The sequence below is a fragment of the Homo sapiens genome, chromosome 21 (genome assembly GCF_000001405.40).
Source record: "Homo sapiens chromosome 21, GRCh38.p14 Primary Assembly".
In the NCBI taxonomy this organism is placed as follows: domain Eukaryota; kingdom Metazoa; phylum Chordata; class Mammalia; order Primates; family Hominidae; genus Homo; species Homo sapiens.
In genome coordinates this window covers 44,282,118-44,299,595 of record NC_000021.9, presented here as the reverse complement: position 1 = coordinate 44,299,595, position 17,478 = coordinate 44,282,118, and the positions used below count along the sequence as shown (strand labels likewise).

At 62.1% G+C, this 17,478-nt stretch overlaps 1 protein-coding gene across 1 annotated transcript, besides 9 other annotated features; it reads right to left on the bottom strand.

Moving 5' to 3' along the window:
* AIRE (autoimmune regulator) lies at positions 948-13,720 on the bottom strand. Its single transcript, NM_000383.4, has 14 exons — positions 13,458-13,720; positions 12,865-13,039; positions 12,463-12,618; positions 12,005-12,079; positions 11,138-11,251; positions 9,794-9,939; positions 9,528-9,608; positions 8,386-8,501; positions 7,195-7,294; positions 6,421-6,603; positions 5,686-5,807; positions 5,093-5,195; positions 3,151-3,213; positions 948-1,940 (listed from the first exon to the last, which is right to left on the bottom strand). Exons 1-14 carry the CDS (start codon positions 13,587-13,589, stop codon positions 1,869-1,871), a joined length of 1,638 nt encoding a protein of 545 aa, NP_000374.1. The 5' UTR covers positions 13,590-13,720; the 3' UTR covers positions 948-1,868.
* Positions 1,088-1,197: an enhancer, noted in NCBI's record as "active region_18567". NCBI's record gives its function as "activates an Ori minimal core promoter by ATAC-STARR-seq in GM12878 lymphoblastoid cells {active_cell/tissue: GM12878}" and the evidence as "EXISTENCE:reporter gene assay evidence [ECO:0000049][PMID:35858748]".
* Positions 1,528-1,587: an enhancer, noted in NCBI's record as "active region_18566". NCBI's record gives its function as "activates an Ori minimal core promoter by ATAC-STARR-seq in GM12878 lymphoblastoid cells {active_cell/tissue: GM12878}" and the evidence as "EXISTENCE:reporter gene assay evidence [ECO:0000049][PMID:35858748]".
* Positions 1,958-2,017: an enhancer, noted in NCBI's record as "active region_18565". NCBI's record gives its function as "activates an Ori minimal core promoter by ATAC-STARR-seq in GM12878 lymphoblastoid cells {active_cell/tissue: GM12878}" and the evidence as "EXISTENCE:reporter gene assay evidence [ECO:0000049][PMID:35858748]".
* Positions 3,147-3,316: a silencer, noted in NCBI's record as "silent region_13378". NCBI's record gives its function as "represses an Ori minimal core promoter by ATAC-STARR-seq in GM12878 lymphoblastoid cells {active_cell/tissue: GM12878}" and the evidence as "EXISTENCE:reporter gene assay evidence [ECO:0000049][PMID:35858748]".
* Positions 14,241-14,842: an enhancer, noted in NCBI's record as "H3K27ac-H3K4me1 hESC enhancer chr21:45704637-45705238 (GRCh37/hg19 assembly coordinates)". NCBI's record gives its function as "activates a minimal SCP1, AML or CMV promoter by ChIP-STARR-seq in naive H9 embryonic stem cells {active_cell/tissue: H9 hESC(naive)}" and the evidence as "EXISTENCE:reporter gene assay evidence [ECO:0000049][PMID:30033119]".
* Positions 14,843-15,446: an enhancer, noted in NCBI's record as "H3K27ac-H3K4me1 hESC enhancer chr21:45704033-45704636 (GRCh37/hg19 assembly coordinates)". NCBI's record gives its function as "activates a minimal SCP1, AML or CMV promoter by ChIP-STARR-seq in naive H9 embryonic stem cells {active_cell/tissue: H9 hESC(naive)}" and the evidence as "EXISTENCE:reporter gene assay evidence [ECO:0000049][PMID:30033119]".
* Positions 15,447-16,048: an enhancer, noted in NCBI's record as "NANOG-H3K27ac-H3K4me1 hESC enhancer chr21:45703431-45704032 (GRCh37/hg19 assembly coordinates)". NCBI's record gives its function as "activates a minimal SCP1, AML or CMV promoter by ChIP-STARR-seq in naive H9 embryonic stem cells {active_cell/tissue: H9 hESC(naive)}" and the evidence as "EXISTENCE:reporter gene assay evidence [ECO:0000049][PMID:30033119]".
* Positions 16,049-16,652: an enhancer, noted in NCBI's record as "NANOG-H3K27ac hESC enhancer chr21:45702827-45703430 (GRCh37/hg19 assembly coordinates)". NCBI's record gives its function as "activates a minimal SCP1, AML or CMV promoter by ChIP-STARR-seq in naive H9 embryonic stem cells {active_cell/tissue: H9 hESC(naive)}" and the evidence as "EXISTENCE:reporter gene assay evidence [ECO:0000049][PMID:30033119]".
* Positions 17,069-17,148: an enhancer, noted in NCBI's record as "active region_18564". NCBI's record gives its function as "activates an Ori minimal core promoter by ATAC-STARR-seq in GM12878 lymphoblastoid cells {active_cell/tissue: GM12878}" and the evidence as "EXISTENCE:reporter gene assay evidence [ECO:0000049][PMID:35858748]".

The window sequence follows — 17,478 nt, the reverse complement described above, 5'->3', positions numbered from 1 at the left end:
TCCTCCCCTCCTCCCTCACTTTTGCTGGGCCCTTGGGGAAGTCTTGGTTCCCCGGGCCCTGGGGGTGCAGAGCCGGTGTTCGGGAGAGCCGCCTCGTGACCGCACGGTGTGTTCGGTTTGTGAAAGCTCAGCGGGCTGATCGCTAGGATTTGAGCATTTTTCTCTACATATACGGTGGAAATGGTGGCTGTGAATATCAACTACTCCTTATTTAATTGTGAAATGTTAGAAAACACACCGAGAGACTGCGCAAGCACATATGCGTGGGCTAAAAGGCGCTAAGAAGACACCTGTGTCTACCCCTGAGGCATCCTTGTGCTGACATTTTGGGTCATTATTCTCTCCCTTTTCTTACAGCTTCATCACGTGTGTGTGTGTGTGTGTGTGTGTGTGTGTGTAAATTCTTAAACGTACATGGTTTAGCCACAATGAGGTACCACCTCATACCCATTAGGATGGCTACTATAAAAGAAAAACACAGGCTGGGCGCAGTGGCTCACGCCCATAATCCCAGAACTTTGGGAGGCCCGTGGGGTGGGGGGGGGGGGGGGGGGTGGATCACCTGAGGTCTGAGGTCAGGAGTTCGAGACCAGCCCAGCCAACATGGTGAAACCCCGTCTCTACTAAAAATACAAAAATTAGCCGGGCATGGTGGTGTGCGCCTGTAATCCCAGCTATGCAGGAGGCTGAGGCAGGAGAATCACTTGAAGCCAGGAGGCAGAGGTTGCAGTGAGTGGAGACTGCGCCATTGCACTGCAGCCTGGGCAGCAAGAGCGAAACTCCGTCTCAAAAAAAGAAGAAAAGAAAAGAAAGAAAAATGCAGAAAATAGTAATTGTTTCAAGGATATGGGGAGGCTGGAACCCTCATGCAGTGTTGGTGGGGATGTGAAATGGTGTAGCTGCTGTGGAAAACAGGATGGCAGTTCTTCAAAAAATTAAAAATATAATTACCATGTGATCCAGCGATTTTACTCAAAGACTCACACAGATATTTGCACACACATATTCATAGCAGCATTACTCACAACAGCCAAAAGGTGGAAGCACCCAGGTGTCTGCTGAGGAAAGCATAGATGAACACAATGCAGTCCATCCATGTGCTGGAATATTACTCAGCCTTAAAAAAGGAAGCAGATTTCGGCACATGCTACAACATGGATGAACCTTGGGGCCACCATGCTGAGTAAAATAAGACAGACACAAAAGGACAGATACTGTGTGATTCCACTTCCATGAGGTCCCTGGAGAAGTCATAGAGACAGAAAGTAGAGTGGAGGGTGCCAGGGGTTGGGAGGGGAATGGGGAGTGAGTGTTTCATGGGGCCAGAGTTTCCATTCAGGAAGCTGGAACAGCTCTGCAGATGGTGGTGGCAATGGTTACATGAGATGTGAATGCCACTGAACTGAAAAGTGGTCGAGATGATAAATTTATGTTATGTGGTTTTTTTGTTTTGTTTTGTTTTTGAGACGGAGTCTCACTCTTGCCGACCAGACTGGAGTGCAGTGGCGCAATCTCAGCTCACTGCAACCTCCACCTCCCGAGTTCAAGTGATTCTCATGCCTCAGGCTCCCATGTAGCTGGGATTACAGGCACCCACCACCACACCCAGCTAATTTTTATATTTTTAGTAGGTCACCAGGCAAGGAGAGGCTCCCGGGGACTTCCAGAGTAGAGAAGTGGGGCAGGGTTTAATTTCCAGGCACATGATGGCTGGTGTCCCCAGAAACACAGAGCTGTTTACAGCCGAGCACTGACAAGAGGTGGCGCTGTCCCCTTCTTGATCCCAGCCGGCCGGCTTCCAGGACTGAGGAAGGAGGTGTCCTTCTCAGCACTCTCTCATCAGAGCTGCATGTCCCGGCCATCTGGGGTCAGGAGGGGAAGGGGGCCGCCGGACGGGCCATGCTCTGGATGGCCCACTGCAGGATGCCATCGAAGGTGTGCTGCGGGACAGAGTGACGGTGAGAACCTCCAGGTGCGCCCCCGCCGCAGCCACAGAATCATGGCCATCGTTACAAGAAGTCACCATCCAACCTTCCCTCTAAGTCAAAGGTGGGGAAACTGAGGCCCGAGGCCCCATGGCACAGGCCAGTCTGGGGAGGACCCTGTCCTGTGCACTTCACCGTATTCCATCAAAGGTGGGGAAACTGAGGCCCAAGGTCCCCATGGCACAGGCCAGACCGAGGACCCTGTCCTGTGTACTTCACCACATCCTATAAGCCCAGGGCACATCCCCATGGCAGTTCATGGCAGTTCTGCCTCCTCGGGTGGCTCCTTCAGGGTGGGGGGGTCGGGGCCAGCTACTTATTCTGCTCAGGAGCCTGATGCTCCCACAGGATGGGGCCACGGGCCCCACGATGCCAGCAGAATAAGACCGCCACCCGGGAGAGGCTGTGAGCCCGTCGCTCATTTCTCCAGCTATACCCGGGGACCCCATCCAGAGGGGCAGCTCCATTACCCAGCGCTGGGCCCCCTGGCCCACTCTCAGGCCCTGGGGCTCTGCAGACACCTGCACGGTCAGGGTGTGTGGGGCACGGCCACTGCACAGGGCAGAACCCCTGCCCCATGGTCAGCTGGGACCCCCGGGTGCCACATCAGACACTGAGGAGAACCCGTGGAGGCTGAAGGAGCTTATCCTCTTGGCAAAAACAGACAGAGCCCTTAAAAGTCACATTTTCCCCACAGATTCTACCTGCCCATCTTAGCGTAGAGAGGCCTGAGTTGGGAGGGGCAAGCAAATCTTAGAGGGACGGGGTCTGGGACCCCCCCCCCACTCCCACGCCCCACCCTCCCTGGGAAAGTGGATCTTGAGCCTGGTGCTCGAGCCTCTGCCTGCCAGGGTGCAGGCCCTCAGGGGAGGGGCCGTGTGGGGGCTCTTGTTGGGGAGGGGCTGGGGGCGCTCAGCAGCACTGGGCTCCCGCAGGGGGAGGGGCCGGGGGGGGCTCCTGCAAGGGGGCTAGGGGGGCTCCTGTGGGGGGTGCCAGGTGCTCAGCAGCACTGGGGCTCCTGGTGGGTGGAGCAGGGACAGCCTGAGTTTCCACGGCTCAAGAGCAGTGGGGGCCGGCAGTCCTCCCCCAGAGTGGGGAGCCTGGGTGCCGGCTGAGGCAGGGGAGGGGGAGTGGAGGAGCACCAGGAGGCCAGGGGAGGCGTTACCTCGCTCAGAAGGGACTCCAGGTCATCCCTGTGCAGAGCGGGCTCGTGACTGGCAGTGTCATCCTGGAACCCAGTAAAGAGAAGAGGTCAGCCCAACTCCCACAGCCCTGGTGGGGGTACAGAGGCCGCAGGGCCTAGGGGCCGCGGGGGTGTTTCCCCCACACTGAGATGGGAATTCTTACACCCAGCTCCACTGGGGGTGGGGGCACAGGGCTGCGTGGGCATGATGGGGCTGGGGCTGCCTCCCCAGGGTCCTGCCCACGGCCAGCTGCCCACGGCCCCCAGACAGCCTCCACACTGTGTGGCCTCCTGGGGAAAACGAGGGAGCTCAGGGAACCAGCAAGGAGTCCCACTCTGAGAGGGGAAGTCTGAGGCCCAGAGAGGAAAGTGCCTGGTCCATGCCACCCCCGCCCCCGACAAGCACCACCAGGGCCAGCCCACACTATAGGTGAGCGACCAGAGTGGGAGAAGGTCCCCAGGCAGGCACCCCCAGCAGAGAGGAGACCATATTACATTGAACCCTGTGGAATTCCCCATTTGTGGCCCCAAACAGCCACATCCCAGCTCCTCCACTCGGGTGAACACTGGCGCTGCGAGGCCCGGCAGCCCTGCATGGCTGAGGGAGGGGCTGCCCGGTCTGGAGGGGAAAGCCCCTGGATGCTCCCCGGTCCTAAGGATGCTCCCAGGGGGTGGGAGAGCTGCTCAGGATGGGGTCTGGGGCCACGTCCAACCACCCTGGAGGAAGGGGGCAGGCTGAGGGGGGAGGCCAAGGCCAGCCAGAACTTTTCCTCTGACATGGCGTTACATTTCACATCACGATGACAAGAAAGAGGTCTCTGCTGTTCAGAGACAGAACCCAGGAGGTTAATGACGAGGTACCCGCTGCGGGAGCAGTTGCAGGAAAGCTGCCTGGGGTTAGGGAGGGGCATCTGCGTATATGCCCGGCTGGGCTCCTGACTCCAGATGGGTGGTGTGAGGAGGGAGGCTTCTAGAAGGAAGGGGACAGTGACAGCTGTGGGCCACGCCACTGTTCCACAAAAGCCCCAAGGGCAGGGCTGGGTCTGAGGCTTGTGCCATGCCAGGCCAGAGCCTGCATGCCGGGGAAGCCTGTCACCTGCCCGGGGAGTACCACGCTGGGGTAGGCTGTCACCCTCCTGGGGAGTACCACGCCGGGGTGGCCTGTCACCCACACGGTGTATACGGGGCGGAGGCACAGCTGGGAAAGAGCATGGGCCAGTGGAGCAGGTGGGACGTGTCATCACCCCAGGATCCCTAAAGGCTCCTCGGTGGCCAGGATGTGCTCAGGAGGCCTCTGCTGGGGACGGTCAGGGCAAGAGGCCACCCCCCCGGAGGCTCCTGCAGCAGCGACTCGGGCCTCCCCCACACCCAGCTCCAGGGCAAGCCCAGCCGCCCCAGCAGTCAGGGGTCTCCGCGCCACCCAGGTCCTCTCTGACCCCGGAGCAGGAGGACAGGAAGAGCTACTGGCTGGACCCGGGGTCACTTTGCCTCTCTGAGAGGGCTCTGGCCACACAGTGGGGTGGATCCTGGCCCCAGGGAGGGCTGGGGGTGAGACAACCTGGAGGGGTCAGACAGGGTGGGGGTTTGCTCCTGCAGGCCGGGCGCTCCCGCTCTCCCTTCACCCCACCAGGGAGCCCTGGCAGGACTCTCAGGCTCATGCTGTGAGGCGGCCACACAGCCAACCGTGACGTCAGCCACCAACCCTCGGGGGGAGCTTCCTTTTTAACTATATTTAAGTTGCCAAAAAGAATTGGTTTAAAGGGGAAATATTTTCTACAGATAATGAGCACATGGTCAGTGCGTCTGGTGCAAGCCCTCGAAGCTGGCACCCAGGGTCTGCCCTGAGATGTGCTCCCCCAACACCAACCCAAGGGGTTCCCCACCCCCAGCACCGGCATGCATGGAGGGCCCCTGCGGCACTGACCTTGGCAGGCCCAGGGGCCAGGCGGGCGGGGCTGGGGGCCAGCACCCCCTCCACAGGGGCTGGGGTCACGTCTCCTGAGCAGGATCTGCAGCGCAGGCCCGTCCTGCAGCAGAGGATGAGGGGCTGCCAGCCCTGGGGGGGAGCAGGAGTGCCACCTCCGGGGTATGGGGTGTGGGGTGTGGGCGTGGGTGGTGAGTGGGGGATGGGGGTGTGGGGTGTGAGGAAGGGGTGTGGGTGTGGGTGGAGAGTGGGAGTGGTGGGTTTGGGTGGGTTTGGGTTGGGTGTAGGGTGTGGGGTGGGTGTAGGGTGTGGGTGGGAGTGTGGGGTGTGGGGTGGGGTGTGGCTGTGGAGTGTGGTGAGGTGCAGGGTATGAGGTGGGGAGTAGGGTGTGGGTGGGGGTGTGGTGGAGTGTGGCTGTGGAGTGTAGGGTGTGGGTGCAGGGCATGGGTGTGGGGTGGGGTGCAAGGTGTGGGTGGGAGTGTGGGGTGTGGGTGGGGTGTGGTTGTGGGCTGTATGATGTGGGTGGGGAGTGTGGGGTGGGGTGTAGGGTGTGGGTGTGGGTTCAGGCCTCCCCGCCGACCACGCTCACTCACCCGGGCCGGGAGGTGCCGGCTGGGAAGTGGCAGCGCCAGTGGAAGGCAGCGGCGCAGTGAGTACACCGCAGCACGTCCGTACCATCTCCGCACACCCCGCAACGCGCACCAGGAGCCAGGTTCTGTGGGAGGCAACAGCGCGGGGTGACGCGGGGGGCCGGGGGAAATGTAGCTGAACCCGAACCCGAGCCCTGTGCGCTCTCCCCTGGGACCACCCAGGGCTGGACGGCGGGTCTAGGCGCAAGTGAGGAGCCTCACGGTGCCACGCAGGCTGCAGGACAGCGGGACCAGTCCCATCCCCAGGAGGCAGGGGCGACCCAAGCACCCTCAGGCTGCTGCCTGCAAGCCTGGCGCCCGCACCTCTCTCCTGCTTGGCGGGCCTGGCCTCCTTTGGGGCTGAGTGCGGGAGTCTCCTGAAAGGCGGTGCCCACAGGGGTGCAGGGAAGGGAATTGAGGCAGGGAGGGGAGGGCTCCCACGTGTGCTGGGACATCCCCCCCTTCATTGTCCTGCCTTGTGGGGGGAGCAGTAATGCCCAGGGCCAGGAGCTGGAGTGGAGGTCTAGGAGCGTCCCCTTCCCCCCGCAGCCCCCCACGCTCCCCCCACAGCCCCAGGCCCTGTGCCTCCCGGAGCCTTTCTCGCCTGGCCTCCCTCTCCTCCTGTTTCAGGTGAATTCATCCGCCCCGTAGGTCCTGGGCTCCTTGAAGAGCCCACCCTGACCCCCACTCCCCGCTCACCTGCTGACCCTCAGGACCCACACACAGTAGGGGGTGCAGGGCCGAGGAGTCCAGCCCTGGCAGCGGGGCTGCAGAAGGCGGAGCCGGCAGGTGCTTGTAGACAAGAGTCGTGTCCATGCCGGCTAGGGGTTCCCCAGGTGGACCTCTTACCTCCTCTCCCGCCGACCTAAGCCCCGGGGGGAGCTGGAACCCAAGGGTCAGCATCAGAGGGGCAGCGGGCGCCTGCCCGGCACCACCCAGGAGTCAGTGACTGCTGGGACCCTGAAACCCAGGGCAGCAGGGTGGGGGCAGAGGCCTGGCATGGTGGGGGCGGAGGGCTGGCATGGTGGAAGGCGTCCACACTGAGTGGGAAAGGCTGTGGCACTTCCTGGCTCTGTGGTCCTCCCTCCTCCCCCGTCTACACACGGGGGGCCCCCTGGCCCTCAGGGCTGTCAGAGGGAACACTGGGTCTGTGCACAGTAGACCTACTACCCTCACAGCAGCAGAACAAGGAACACATCTTCCGGGGCCGTTATCAATGCTCATAGTGCCCCCCGGGGTGGACCCGCAGCCAGGAGAGCTGGGTTTAGGCCCACAGGAACCATGATGGGGACTCCACTGCAGGAGACCACAAGGACCGGGCTTGGGCATGGGGGACATAGTGCTATGGCTGGGGCAGTCCTGTCCCACAGGACTCCAGGGGACAGACGGACAGGAGGGGGTGGCCCAGCCTAGGAGGGGGCGTGGCCATGTGGACAGGAGGGGTGGCCCGGCTAGGAGGGGGCGTGGCCATACCGGGGTCTCCACGGGTGGCTCCTGGGGCCGGGGCTCCTCTGCCCGGGGCTGCACCTCCTGGACTGTTGCCTGCAGGCAGCTGGAGCACCTCCAGGTCCCACTGCTCGTGTGTCCACCAGTCAGAGACATGCAGAACAAGACAGCGGGTGACAGATCCCCAAACCCACGGGTGGAGCTCCAGGGCTCCGACCATGTCTTTTCACAGAGGGGGAACCGAGGCACAGCAGAGAGATGGGCAGAGACACAGGAAGGGAGAGCCCAGCAGGGGGACATTTACCCTTCGTGGGGTGGCCCTGGCCAGCGTGATCAGGGTCCCCTTGGCGTGCTCTCTGATGAACCCCAGGAATCCCCAACACCTGCGAGCCCTGGTGGCTTTGCCTGCCTCTCAGGGCTGGGCCCTGCCGGGGGCCTCCCTAAACTGACCCACCTGTTAAGGGGAATGGCACCCAGCAGAATGGGGAGGTGATCAAGGGCAGAAAGAGACGGCAAGGAGGAACGGCTTCAGGAGCCGAGCAATGACCCCCACTGTGCCCCTTATTCTAGTGATGAGGCACAAGGCTGAGAGGGGGCCTGATGACGGCCACTCAGGGGCTGGGGCAGAGCCTCGCCTGAACGTGGGTCCCCACTGCACCCAGAGCTCTTCCTCCCACAGACTGCCACGTCCTGTGGGGTTGGAATGGGGGCAGGGCTCGGTGGGCCGTGGGGAAGGAGCACCGGGATGTGAACGCAGAGGAGGCCTCCCGCCCCCACTAAGCCCGGCGTCCTGTGCATTGGTGGACAAACTCCCACCTGCCCTGGGGGGCACAGCTCTGTGGCCTCTGTGCTCCCCAGCCCTGTCTGGAGTGGGACTCTGGGGTGGGGCTTGGGGGTGGGGGCCGGCTACCCATGGGGGCGTGGGCTGCAGCCTGGGATGAGCTTGGACAGGGTGGCATCTTCGCCCTGGGCCTCTGTTCTGCTTTGCTGCCCTCAGGGGCCCAGCTGTCCAGGCTGGGCAGCAGGTGTGGCCAGACCGGGAGGCAGGTGGCAGGGTGGGAAAACCCCAGGCCCCGGCCCCACGGCCCAGTGACCTGACTCAGAACCCCTTTCCATCTTGGATGGGAGAGGCTTGGGGTGGCTTCCCTTCAGGGTCAGTGGGTGGAGGCGGCCGTGAACCGGGGTGGCCTGGTTGCGCTGGCAGAGGTGCAGGCTCACCTGGGGATCTCCCGGAGCGGAGGGGACAGGCAGGCCAGGTGGAAGGCCCGAGGGCAGCCGTCACAGCAGATGAGCTCCCCGCCGTCCCGACACACGGCACACTCGTCCTCATTCTTCTGGCACAGGCAAGAGACGCCCATGCAGACTGGGCTGGGGTGCAGCACCCTCCTGAGAGCCACCTCCTTCCCAAAACAGCTCCCCCAGCAGCATCTCTGGGTACCTGAACTCCCCAGTCTCTGCCCTGCTCCCATGCTGCCAGGGCCTGAAATTCTGCCCTGACCACCTGTTCCCCATCCATCTGGTCTCCAACAGACACCCCCCGGGGCCATCCCTATTGGGAAGAAAACCCGGTTTCTTGCAGGCTGCTGCGTTCCAGGGGCCCCGGAACTGTACACCAACCACATGAACCCTTCCTCACAGGGCAGTGGGGCCAGGCCCAGGGAGGTCTCTCCCGACCTCAGCGCCTGCTGAATCCTCCACCTGCAGCCCCCACCGTCCTTGTGCCCTGCCTGGATGGTGCCTGCTGTGCCTTCAGGGGTCTCCCAGGTACCACTTCCTCCAGAATCCCCCCAGACAGCCAGGCTAGGCTGGTCCTGCACGGCAATGACCTCACTCATTCTAACAATCCCCCAGACGCCCACCAGCCCGGGTGCTCCTGCAGGGCAGGACTGGCTCCTGTCACTGCTAAGTGCCAGGGCCCCACAGAGCCCCTGGTGCCAAGTGGTCAAGATCTGTAACCCACCACGGCAGGCACCCCCCACACTGCTTCTACCCCATTAAGAAACCATGCTGGGGACGAAAGATGAGCATGGCATTCCCAGTGGATCCTTGACCTCCTGGCTATAGCAGGGGCGCCCGGCCCACCCACGGGCCCAGCTGAGAGCAGCGGGTACAGCCTGGACCAAACGCCATGCTCTTAAGAGCCTGAGAAGACCTCACTTTCTCTGACTCATTTAAACTATTACCATTGCGTATTATCAGGAAAAAAATACTGTCTATTAAAGAAAAAGAGCTGTACCCTGTGGGTAGGGGCTCAGGCCCCGGTGCTCATCCCTGAGTGCCCAGGTAAAGGCAGAGGCAGCAGGACCCACCCGAGGGGAGCAAGGGCAGACAGGGGCCTCTCCTGTGGTCTAGGGCATTACCTGGTGGAGCTGGGGGTCACTGGGGAGGGCCAGAGGGGCGGGAACGCTGCCCTGCTGGCCCAGCCTAGCCTCACCTCCACCCTGCAAGGAAGAGGGGCGTCAGCAATGGGGGCAGCCTCAGCAGCGAGGGTGCACATGGCTGTGGCACCAGGCGTCTCTCGGCAGCAGCCCCCAGCCCCCAGCAGAGCCACTCCCCCAGAGGCAACGCTGTTCCTGGGGCGGGGGGCATCAAGAGCCAGGCTCCCCAGGGAAGGTCAGGTGCTTACGGGGGCAGCGCCCTGGGCTCCCTTGGCTCGAACCAGAGGCTTCGGGCCACTGCTGCTGCGGGCCTTGTTCTTCCCACTGCCGGAGTCTTCGAACTTGCTGGGAGTGTAGAACTCCCCGCCAACCTGGATGCACTTCTTGGAGCCGCCTGGGAGGAGATGCCGGCTGGTCCTGGCTCACCCGCCCAGCAGGACCTGCCTTGGCAGTCGTGTAGGCCCCAGGGTGGGGTCTAGCAGAGACAGGTGGAGTTCCCACAGCCTGCATTCCTCCAGCCCGCCCCCACCCCAGTCGAGTCTGGGGCCCGGGGATTGTCCTGGATCTACACCAGGGTGTTCAACAGCGTCCCCCGAAGTTCACGTCCACCCAGAACCTCAGAGTGTGACCTTACTTGAAATCAGGGTCTTTGTAGATGTGATTAGTTAAGATGAGGTCACACTGGACCATAAGTTCAATGACTGGTGTCCTTATAAAGAGGACACGTGGGAGACAGCTGTGAGACCACAGAAGCAGAGGCTGGAGCGGTGGGTCCTGAGCCCAGGAACAAGGAGCACAGGGGTACCCCCATAATGACCAGCAGCTGGGAGACACAAGGAAGGATTCTTCCCTGGAGCCTCCAGAGGGAGTGTGGCCCCGAGACACCTCGATGTTGGCATTTCTGTCATTTCAAGCCTCCCAGTTTGTGCCAATTTAACCAACAGCCTTAGGAAGTAACACAGTGGGCCTTGGGACCATCCAGAGGTGCAAGACCAGGGCCCTGGCTGTGCTTGGTGTTCCCAGCCCATGTCCAGCACCGAGGAGACACCGTGTCAGGGACTTGAGATGGAATGCCCCGATGGCACGGTGGGTCTGCCACCAGCGGCCCTGCTGTGCCCTGGTCAGATGGCACTGGTGATTGCATGGGGTCAGCGGCTGGCCAGGGAATGGCGGGCGAGGATGCTGCAGGCTGGCCAGGGTATGGGGGGCAAGGACGCTATGCTACAGGCTGTCCTGGTTGAAGAATGCCGATACCCTGGAGGGTCTCAGCAGCACAGGCAGAACTTTCTAAGGATGCAACCCCATGGCCCAGGAGGGCCCATGCACATGGATGGAGGTGACTGGGGAGTGCTGTACATCCCGGGTGGGGATGTGGGCCTGGACCGCTGGCCTTGCAGAAGGTCCCCCGACAGGGAGACTTCAGTGCTCACCCTCCTCCTCCAAAGTCAGCAGAACCACAGGCAGAAACTCTGGCTACCTGAGCAACAGTCCGGTCTGCTGTGGGACCACCAGGATGCAAAGGGGCGTGGTCCTCCTTCCATCTTGGAGCCTGGGTCTCCCCATCAGCCCCATCTCCCCGCCACAGCGTCTACCTGACTCAAACACCTGCTGGATGAGGATCCCCTCCACGGCCCCTCGGGCTCCCGGGACGTCCCCGGAGGACATGGCCACAGCTCTCTGGACTGAAGCTGACATGGTCTGAATCCCTGGGAAAGGGAACACCCATTGGGGTCACCCGTGGGGAAGACTGTTCCCAAGCACATACTCTATGCCAGAAGCAGGCAGCACTGGGCTGCAGAGCCCTTTCCTTCCAGCCAGGGCAGGCCAAGGAGGGGACCCAGCCCTGCCATGTGCAGACAGCCCACAGGTAAGTGCAGAGACATGAGAATGTGTGTGTTCGTGTGTGCACCCAAGTGTGCGTGTGCTGGGGGGTGGCAGTGTCAGCAGAGCTGGCACAATGGATAGGAAGGCATGACCAATGACCAGACCCACCCCCCCATGACATGGGCCCTGTATTGTGCCGGGAGGGACACAGAGTTCCTAGGCTCTGCCCTCAGGGAGATAGGGGGTCTCTGGAGTCCAGTGCCCTGGGAAGGAAGGAGAAGGGGACAGGAAGGGTTCAGCCTGCATGCAGCTGGGGGCCAGGGATGATTTTCTGGAGGAAGCTATGTCTAGGCTGGTCCTGAAGGATAGGGAGTGGACGGGCAGAGAAGGTGCCTGAGAAGGGGGTCCCAGAACCAGGGTGCAGTGGGGGCAGGGGCGACTGGCAAGATCATGCTTAGACCCAAGGTGTCCCCTTCCTGGGTCTGGTGGTGCAGCTTAGGCCCTTGGAATGACACACCAGGCCAGCACGTCCCCAGCCCCTAGGACAGGGTCTCAGAGGGCAGGCCCTGCTCTGACCCCTGACCCCTTGCCCCTGGCCAGGGAGAAGGGAGGCGCTCCCACTGGGCCCCGCTCACCGTTCCCGAGTGGAAGGCGCTGCTGCTCTGCGCTGCTCTCCGGCTTCTTGGGGGGCTTGGCCTTCAGTTGAGAGCCTGAATGGGGGAGCTGGGGGCAGCCTGGCCTCCCCTCTCAGTGGGGGTGAGTGCCGGTGGGCAGGGGCCCGCGGTGGGAGGGCGTGGAGGGGGCGGTCCAGTGCTGGGTAGTCCCTTTGCCGGGCTCTGGTTTCTCATCAGTAAAAGGGAAATGAGACCCGCCCGCCTACTTCACCAGCTCCGGGGAGCTCAGCCTTCAGGCAGGAGGGAGCTGAGAGGCTGGTCCAGTGTGTGGGTCTAGTACCCAGAGGAGACCCCCACAGCCCCAGGCAGGCTGGCCCCACACCCAGTGGGTGGGAGCCCGGGTGGGGAGGGGGCGTGGGCTCCCGGGGAAGCCCGGGAAGACTGGAGACCCTGGCTGGCTTCCCCTGCAGGGAGGGTACCTGGGCTGGCGGTGCCCCTTGGAGTCAGGGCTGCTGGCGCGGCAGCTCGAGCCTCTTCTGAGGCCTTCCTCTTGGTGGGGAGTCTGGGTGGCGGTACCAAAGCCTTGGGGACGGCCGGGGGCTTCCTCCCCTTCCGGGGCTGGCTGAGGTCCACATCTGCAGCTCAGGGGCAGGAGCAGGGTCCCAACCTCAGGGTTTTCTCCAGGGGTAGGGTGGGCCCCAGAACTGGACACCTTGGCCAGACAGGTGAGGCCTGGCCCCTTTGCCTCTTAGGATCCAAGACGGTCCTGGAACATCACCCACGGGCTCCTCAAACACCACTCCGGTTCCAGTCCAGCTGGGCTGAGCAGGTGACAGCAGCTGCCCCAGGCCCCCAGCATGGCTGAGTCCACCAGGACCCACCTTTGGGGAAGCTGTCCAGGATGGGCTGCAGCCGGCCATAGCGCTCCAGGTTGTAGTCCTTGAACAGCACCCTCCAGAAGTCCAGGATGGCTGTGGAGTCCTGGGTCAGCAGCCAGGACAGGAGGGCGTGGAAGGCCTGGGGGCAGCCCTCCTTTTCCTTCAGATGAAGCGTCTCCTGCAGTGGGGTGGCATGAGGGTCCCTGCCATGGTCCCCCACACCCTGCGGCCTGCCCATCTCCATCATGACTAGAGGGTGGAGCTCCCAGGCAGAGGCGCTGGCGACCTGGACAGCTCCACGCCCATCTCCTCGGCTTGTGGTGGAGTCAGGTGGTGGTGTAGGGGTGTTGAGGGTGGGGCTGGGGGAACCTGGAGGCCATTCCCTTGGCTTGGGGGTGAGGTGTGGGGACGGCTGGGGGAAGGGGACCAACTTCTAACTTGTCATCAGGGACGCCCCTGGCTCCTTGTGGGGAGGGAGTTGGGGAAGGCTGGAGGGGCTTGGGGATCTGGAGGGGCGGGGTCCTCCTGGAACTTCCCCGGGGACTATCCCTGGCTCACAGGGCCTGGGGGCAGCGGGGGGCGGGCGGGGAGCCCACCTGAAACTTGTCCTCGGGGACCACGTCGTGGTCAGCCAGCGCGTGCAGCAGTGGGAAGGCGCTGTCCACGGCCACCGCGATCTCCGTGCGGTGCAGCCTCAGAAGCCGGCGTAGCGCCGCGTCCGTCGCCATGGGGTGGGCGCGGGGACCCGGGGCTGGGGCGGACGCGGTGGGTCCCGGGACACTGGCAGCCCCTCGCTTGGCCTCGGGTCCCGGCGGGGCTGTGGGGCCTCCGCGCCGGCTGTGCGCCCGCCCGTCTCCCCGGTCTGCGAGCCACGCGCGCCGCTGTTATACCCCCGCGACCACGCAAAGAGCAAAGGCCGCTCCGCCCCGGCGCCCAATCAGGGCCAGGGCCTCCCGCAGGGACACTTCCCTGTGATGGAGGCGCTGCTGTCCCTCCCTCGCTCTCGGGAAGTCTCCGGGCCTGGCCTGACTCACCCACCAGGGCAGCTGCCTTGGGGGCTGGGGACAGAGACTCGCTCTGTGCGGGACTCAGAGAACTCTCACTTCCGAATGTGGCCCTGTCCTGCCTCGGCGAGGGCCCTGCTCGAATGGGGCAAAGCCGAGACAGGTGCCCTCGGCGGGGAGGCTCGGGTCTCAGGGCCCTGGCAGGGGCTGCCCAGGGTGCACCGGCCCCTCCCAGTGGCCGGCAAGAGCCTCCATGGAGGCTGGATCGGGGTGGTGTTCCTGGGGGACCTCCACACAAGCTGAGAGCCCCTACTCAGGGGCCCGCCTGGGGCTGTGGGAGGAGCCCGATGGAGGCTCAGTCTGATGCAGGAGACGGTACGGCAGCCTGGGTGTTGCCAGGGAGCTCCTGACCTCACCATCTTAGGCTAGCTGTGTGACGCCAGGCAAGTCCTTTCCTTCTCTGAGCCTCGGTTCCCTCATCTTTAAAAGGGGCACACTCGCCTGGGGATTGAGGCTCGCATTGACCCCCTCCTTCCTTCCTCCAGGTGCTTTAGAAGGAAGGCGGCCAGCCCCACAACGGGGGTCCTGAGTGTGGCCCTGAGTGAGAGCTCCCAAAGGGTCTTCCTAGGACCAGTGACAGAGGCTGAGGGATGCTGTGGCCTGGACAGGAGCTTCCGGGGGCATCTGGGAAGGTGTCCGGGAGGGGAGCTGCAGTGGACAGGAGCCGAGGGTCCCAGGTGGACGTGAGTGGGGACAGTGCCCCCAGTAAAACAAGACCAGGTGCAGAGGCCTGGGGCCTGCAATGATGCTGAGGCTGTGGTGGCCCCGCAGGCATGGCCTGGAGGGGGGGTGGCCTCAGTGGGAGGCCTTGGTAACAGTCCCCTTGTCTGTGCGGTCAAGCCAGGGAAGCAGGCCCTGTGTGCAGGCTGCAGAGAACCACGAGAGGTCTCTGGGCACGAGTGTTCCCACTGAGCCAGAGAACGAGATGACCTGGCCAGCATGGATTAGGGCTGAAGGGTGGACGAAGGTACCAGGAAGCCTGAATCCAGGCAGCACTGGGCTGGGGGCTAACTGATGCAGTGAGAGACGCCACCAAGATTCCCACGTGGGCAGGCGTGCCGTTTGCTTTTGGGCAGCCAGAGTCCAGGATGGAGAGCGGCAGACACCTCTCCTCTAGACCAGGGGTCGGTCTCGGTTTCTCCTACCGCCTTCAGGCCCAGGGTCCCCCTGAGCGTTCTGCACGTCTGAGATTGCTCCGGAAAAGACTCTAGGGGTGTTTGGGAACAAACCTGGGGAGGAAGGTGGGGCCAGAGGTGGTGGCCGAGGTGGTCAGCCTGGGGTCAGGTGCTGGGGACGTCATGGGGAGCTGAGGGGGAGGGGGTCCATCTCAGTGGTGGCTGTGGAGTATCAGGCAGTGCAGGGTTGGAACAGGCTGGCTCCTGTGTGGAATGTCCTGGGAGCCTTGAGCGGGGAGCAGGGCCCTCTCGCTGCCCAGGCCTGGGCGTCTCTCACTCCCTGCACTGCGCCTTCCGAAGACCCCGAGAGGGAAGCCCCCTGCCTGCATGCCTGCCTTGCCGGTCCCCGCTCCAACAGACACATCCTGTCCCCAGCCAGGCCGGGCTGCTGCTCGCTGGGTTTCCTGCCCTCTCCCCTGCAGTTCTGTATTTACAGCAAAAATATTTAAATAACTGCAAGCGAAAGTTGCACAGAAGCCCAGCTTTGCACAGGATCCCTGTCTGCTCCTGAAACACCCCCATTCTCCTTGCTCATCCATGGGCAGGGGTCTCACGAAGGGAGAGCTCACTAACATCAAGTTCAATGGCAACCCTTGGGCCCACTGGCTGCACAGTTCATGCATAAAAGCCCCTGGGGTGCCAGGGAACCAGCGCACACAGCTTTGGGATGACCAGTAACCGTTGCTCCCAGCAACTTGGCTTTCCTCTCCTTTGAGGCTGTGGGGAAAAGAAAGAGAGATCAGATTGTTAATGTGTCTGCATAGAAAGTAGACATAAGAGACTCCATTTTAATCTGTAACCCTACCCCCAACCCTGTGCTCCCTGAGACATGTGCTGTGTCAACTCAGGGTTAAATGGATTAAGGGCTGTGCAGGGTGTGCTTTATTAAACAAATGCTTGAAGGCAGCATGCTCGTTAAGAGTCATCACCACTCCCTAATCTTAAGTACCCAGGGACACAAAACACTGCGGAAGGCCGCAGGGACCCCTGCCTAGGAAAGCCAGGTATTGTCCAAGGTTTCTCCCCATGTGATAGCCTGAGATATGGCCTCCTGGGAAGGGAAAGACCTGACCGTCCCCCAGCCCGACACCGTAAAGGGTCTGTGCTGAGGAGGATTAGTAAAAGTGGAAGGAACGCCTCGTTGCAGTTGAGACAAGAGGAAGGCATCTGTCTCCTGCCCGTCCCTGGGCAATGGAATGTCTCGGTATAAAACCCGATTGTATATTCCATCTACTGAGATAGGGGGAAACTGCCTTAGGGCTGGAGGTGGGACAAGCAGGCAGCAATACTGCTCCTTAAGGCATTGAGATGTTTATGTGTATACATATCTAAAGCACAGCACTTAATTCTTTACCTTGTTTATGATGCAGAGACCTTTGTTCACGTGCTTACCTGCTGACCTTCTCTCCACTATTATCCTATGATCCTGCCACATCCCCCTCTCCGAGAAACACCCAAAAATGATCAATAAATACTAAGGGAACTCAGAGGCCAGCGGGGGTCCTCCGTATGCTGAGCGCCGGTCCCCTGGTCCCCCAATTTCTTTCTCTATACTTTGTCTGTGTCTCTTTTCCAAGTCTCTCGTTCTACCTAACGAGAAACACCCACAGGTGTGGAGGGGCAACCCACCCCTTCAGAGGCCATCCTGCCCCAAAGTCACCCCCTGCAACCCGGTGGCTTTTCCCTCCCCAGATGGTTAAGTGAGTCAATGGATGCCTTAGCCCAGAGATGGTTAAAGGGGAATTAAAAACTGCAAAGCGAGATCCAAGTCTGCACTTCACTTTTTAAAAAAGACCTGCAGTCTTTGCGGGTCACCTGTGTCATTGGGCTGGGGCCTGACCCCTGTGGGCAGGCGTCACCCAGCCTCTTGCATGGAGGTTTAACAAAGAGGCCCCTGTAGAATTTCGGACTTTCCACCATGCCGTGGGGCTTTCCACACCAGCCCCTTGCCCGCAGGTGACATGGAGCCGCCACGGCTCCCTGGAGGTGGCACAGACCCCTGGAGGGGGGTGAGGGGCTGGGGACTCGGCCCTGTCTTCAGTGGGACTGATGCCTTTGTGGGACTGAGCCTCAGTTTCCCCAAGAGGCACCTGGGCAGCAGAGCTCTGGGACAGTATTGGGCTCCATCCCTGAGCCCCGTGTCCTCGGCTGGAGCGGGAGGGCCCCGCAGCCCTTTCTCCCACATCTGTGCTGTGCCCTTGGACGCCTGCGGACCTGCCATGCCCCGGGCTAGGCCCTGAGAGCTTTGTGATTCTGCTCACTCCATCAGCAGAACGGTCTCCTCAGGTCATCATCGTGATTAGTGCCATCCACAGATATGGAAACTGAGGCCTGTTGCCGGGAGGAGCTTGGCCAGAGTCACGCAGCTGCTAAGGGGC

Bases quoted from the DNA above. Each gene is read 5' to 3' on its own strand.
- AIRE (NM_000383.4), bottom strand. From the start codon at position 13,589: ATGGCGACGGACGCGGCGCTACGCCGGCTTCTGAGGCTGCACCGCACG. The intron at 12,619-12,864 runs GTGGGTCCTGGT...CCTGAGCTGCAG, and splicing joins CCTGGACAGCTTCCCCAAAG to ATGTGGACCTCAGCCAGCCC. The intron at 9,940-11,137 runs GTAGACGCTGTG...ATCTCCTCCCAG, and splicing joins CCAGCAGGTGTTTGAGTCAG to GCGGCTCCAAGAAGTGCATC.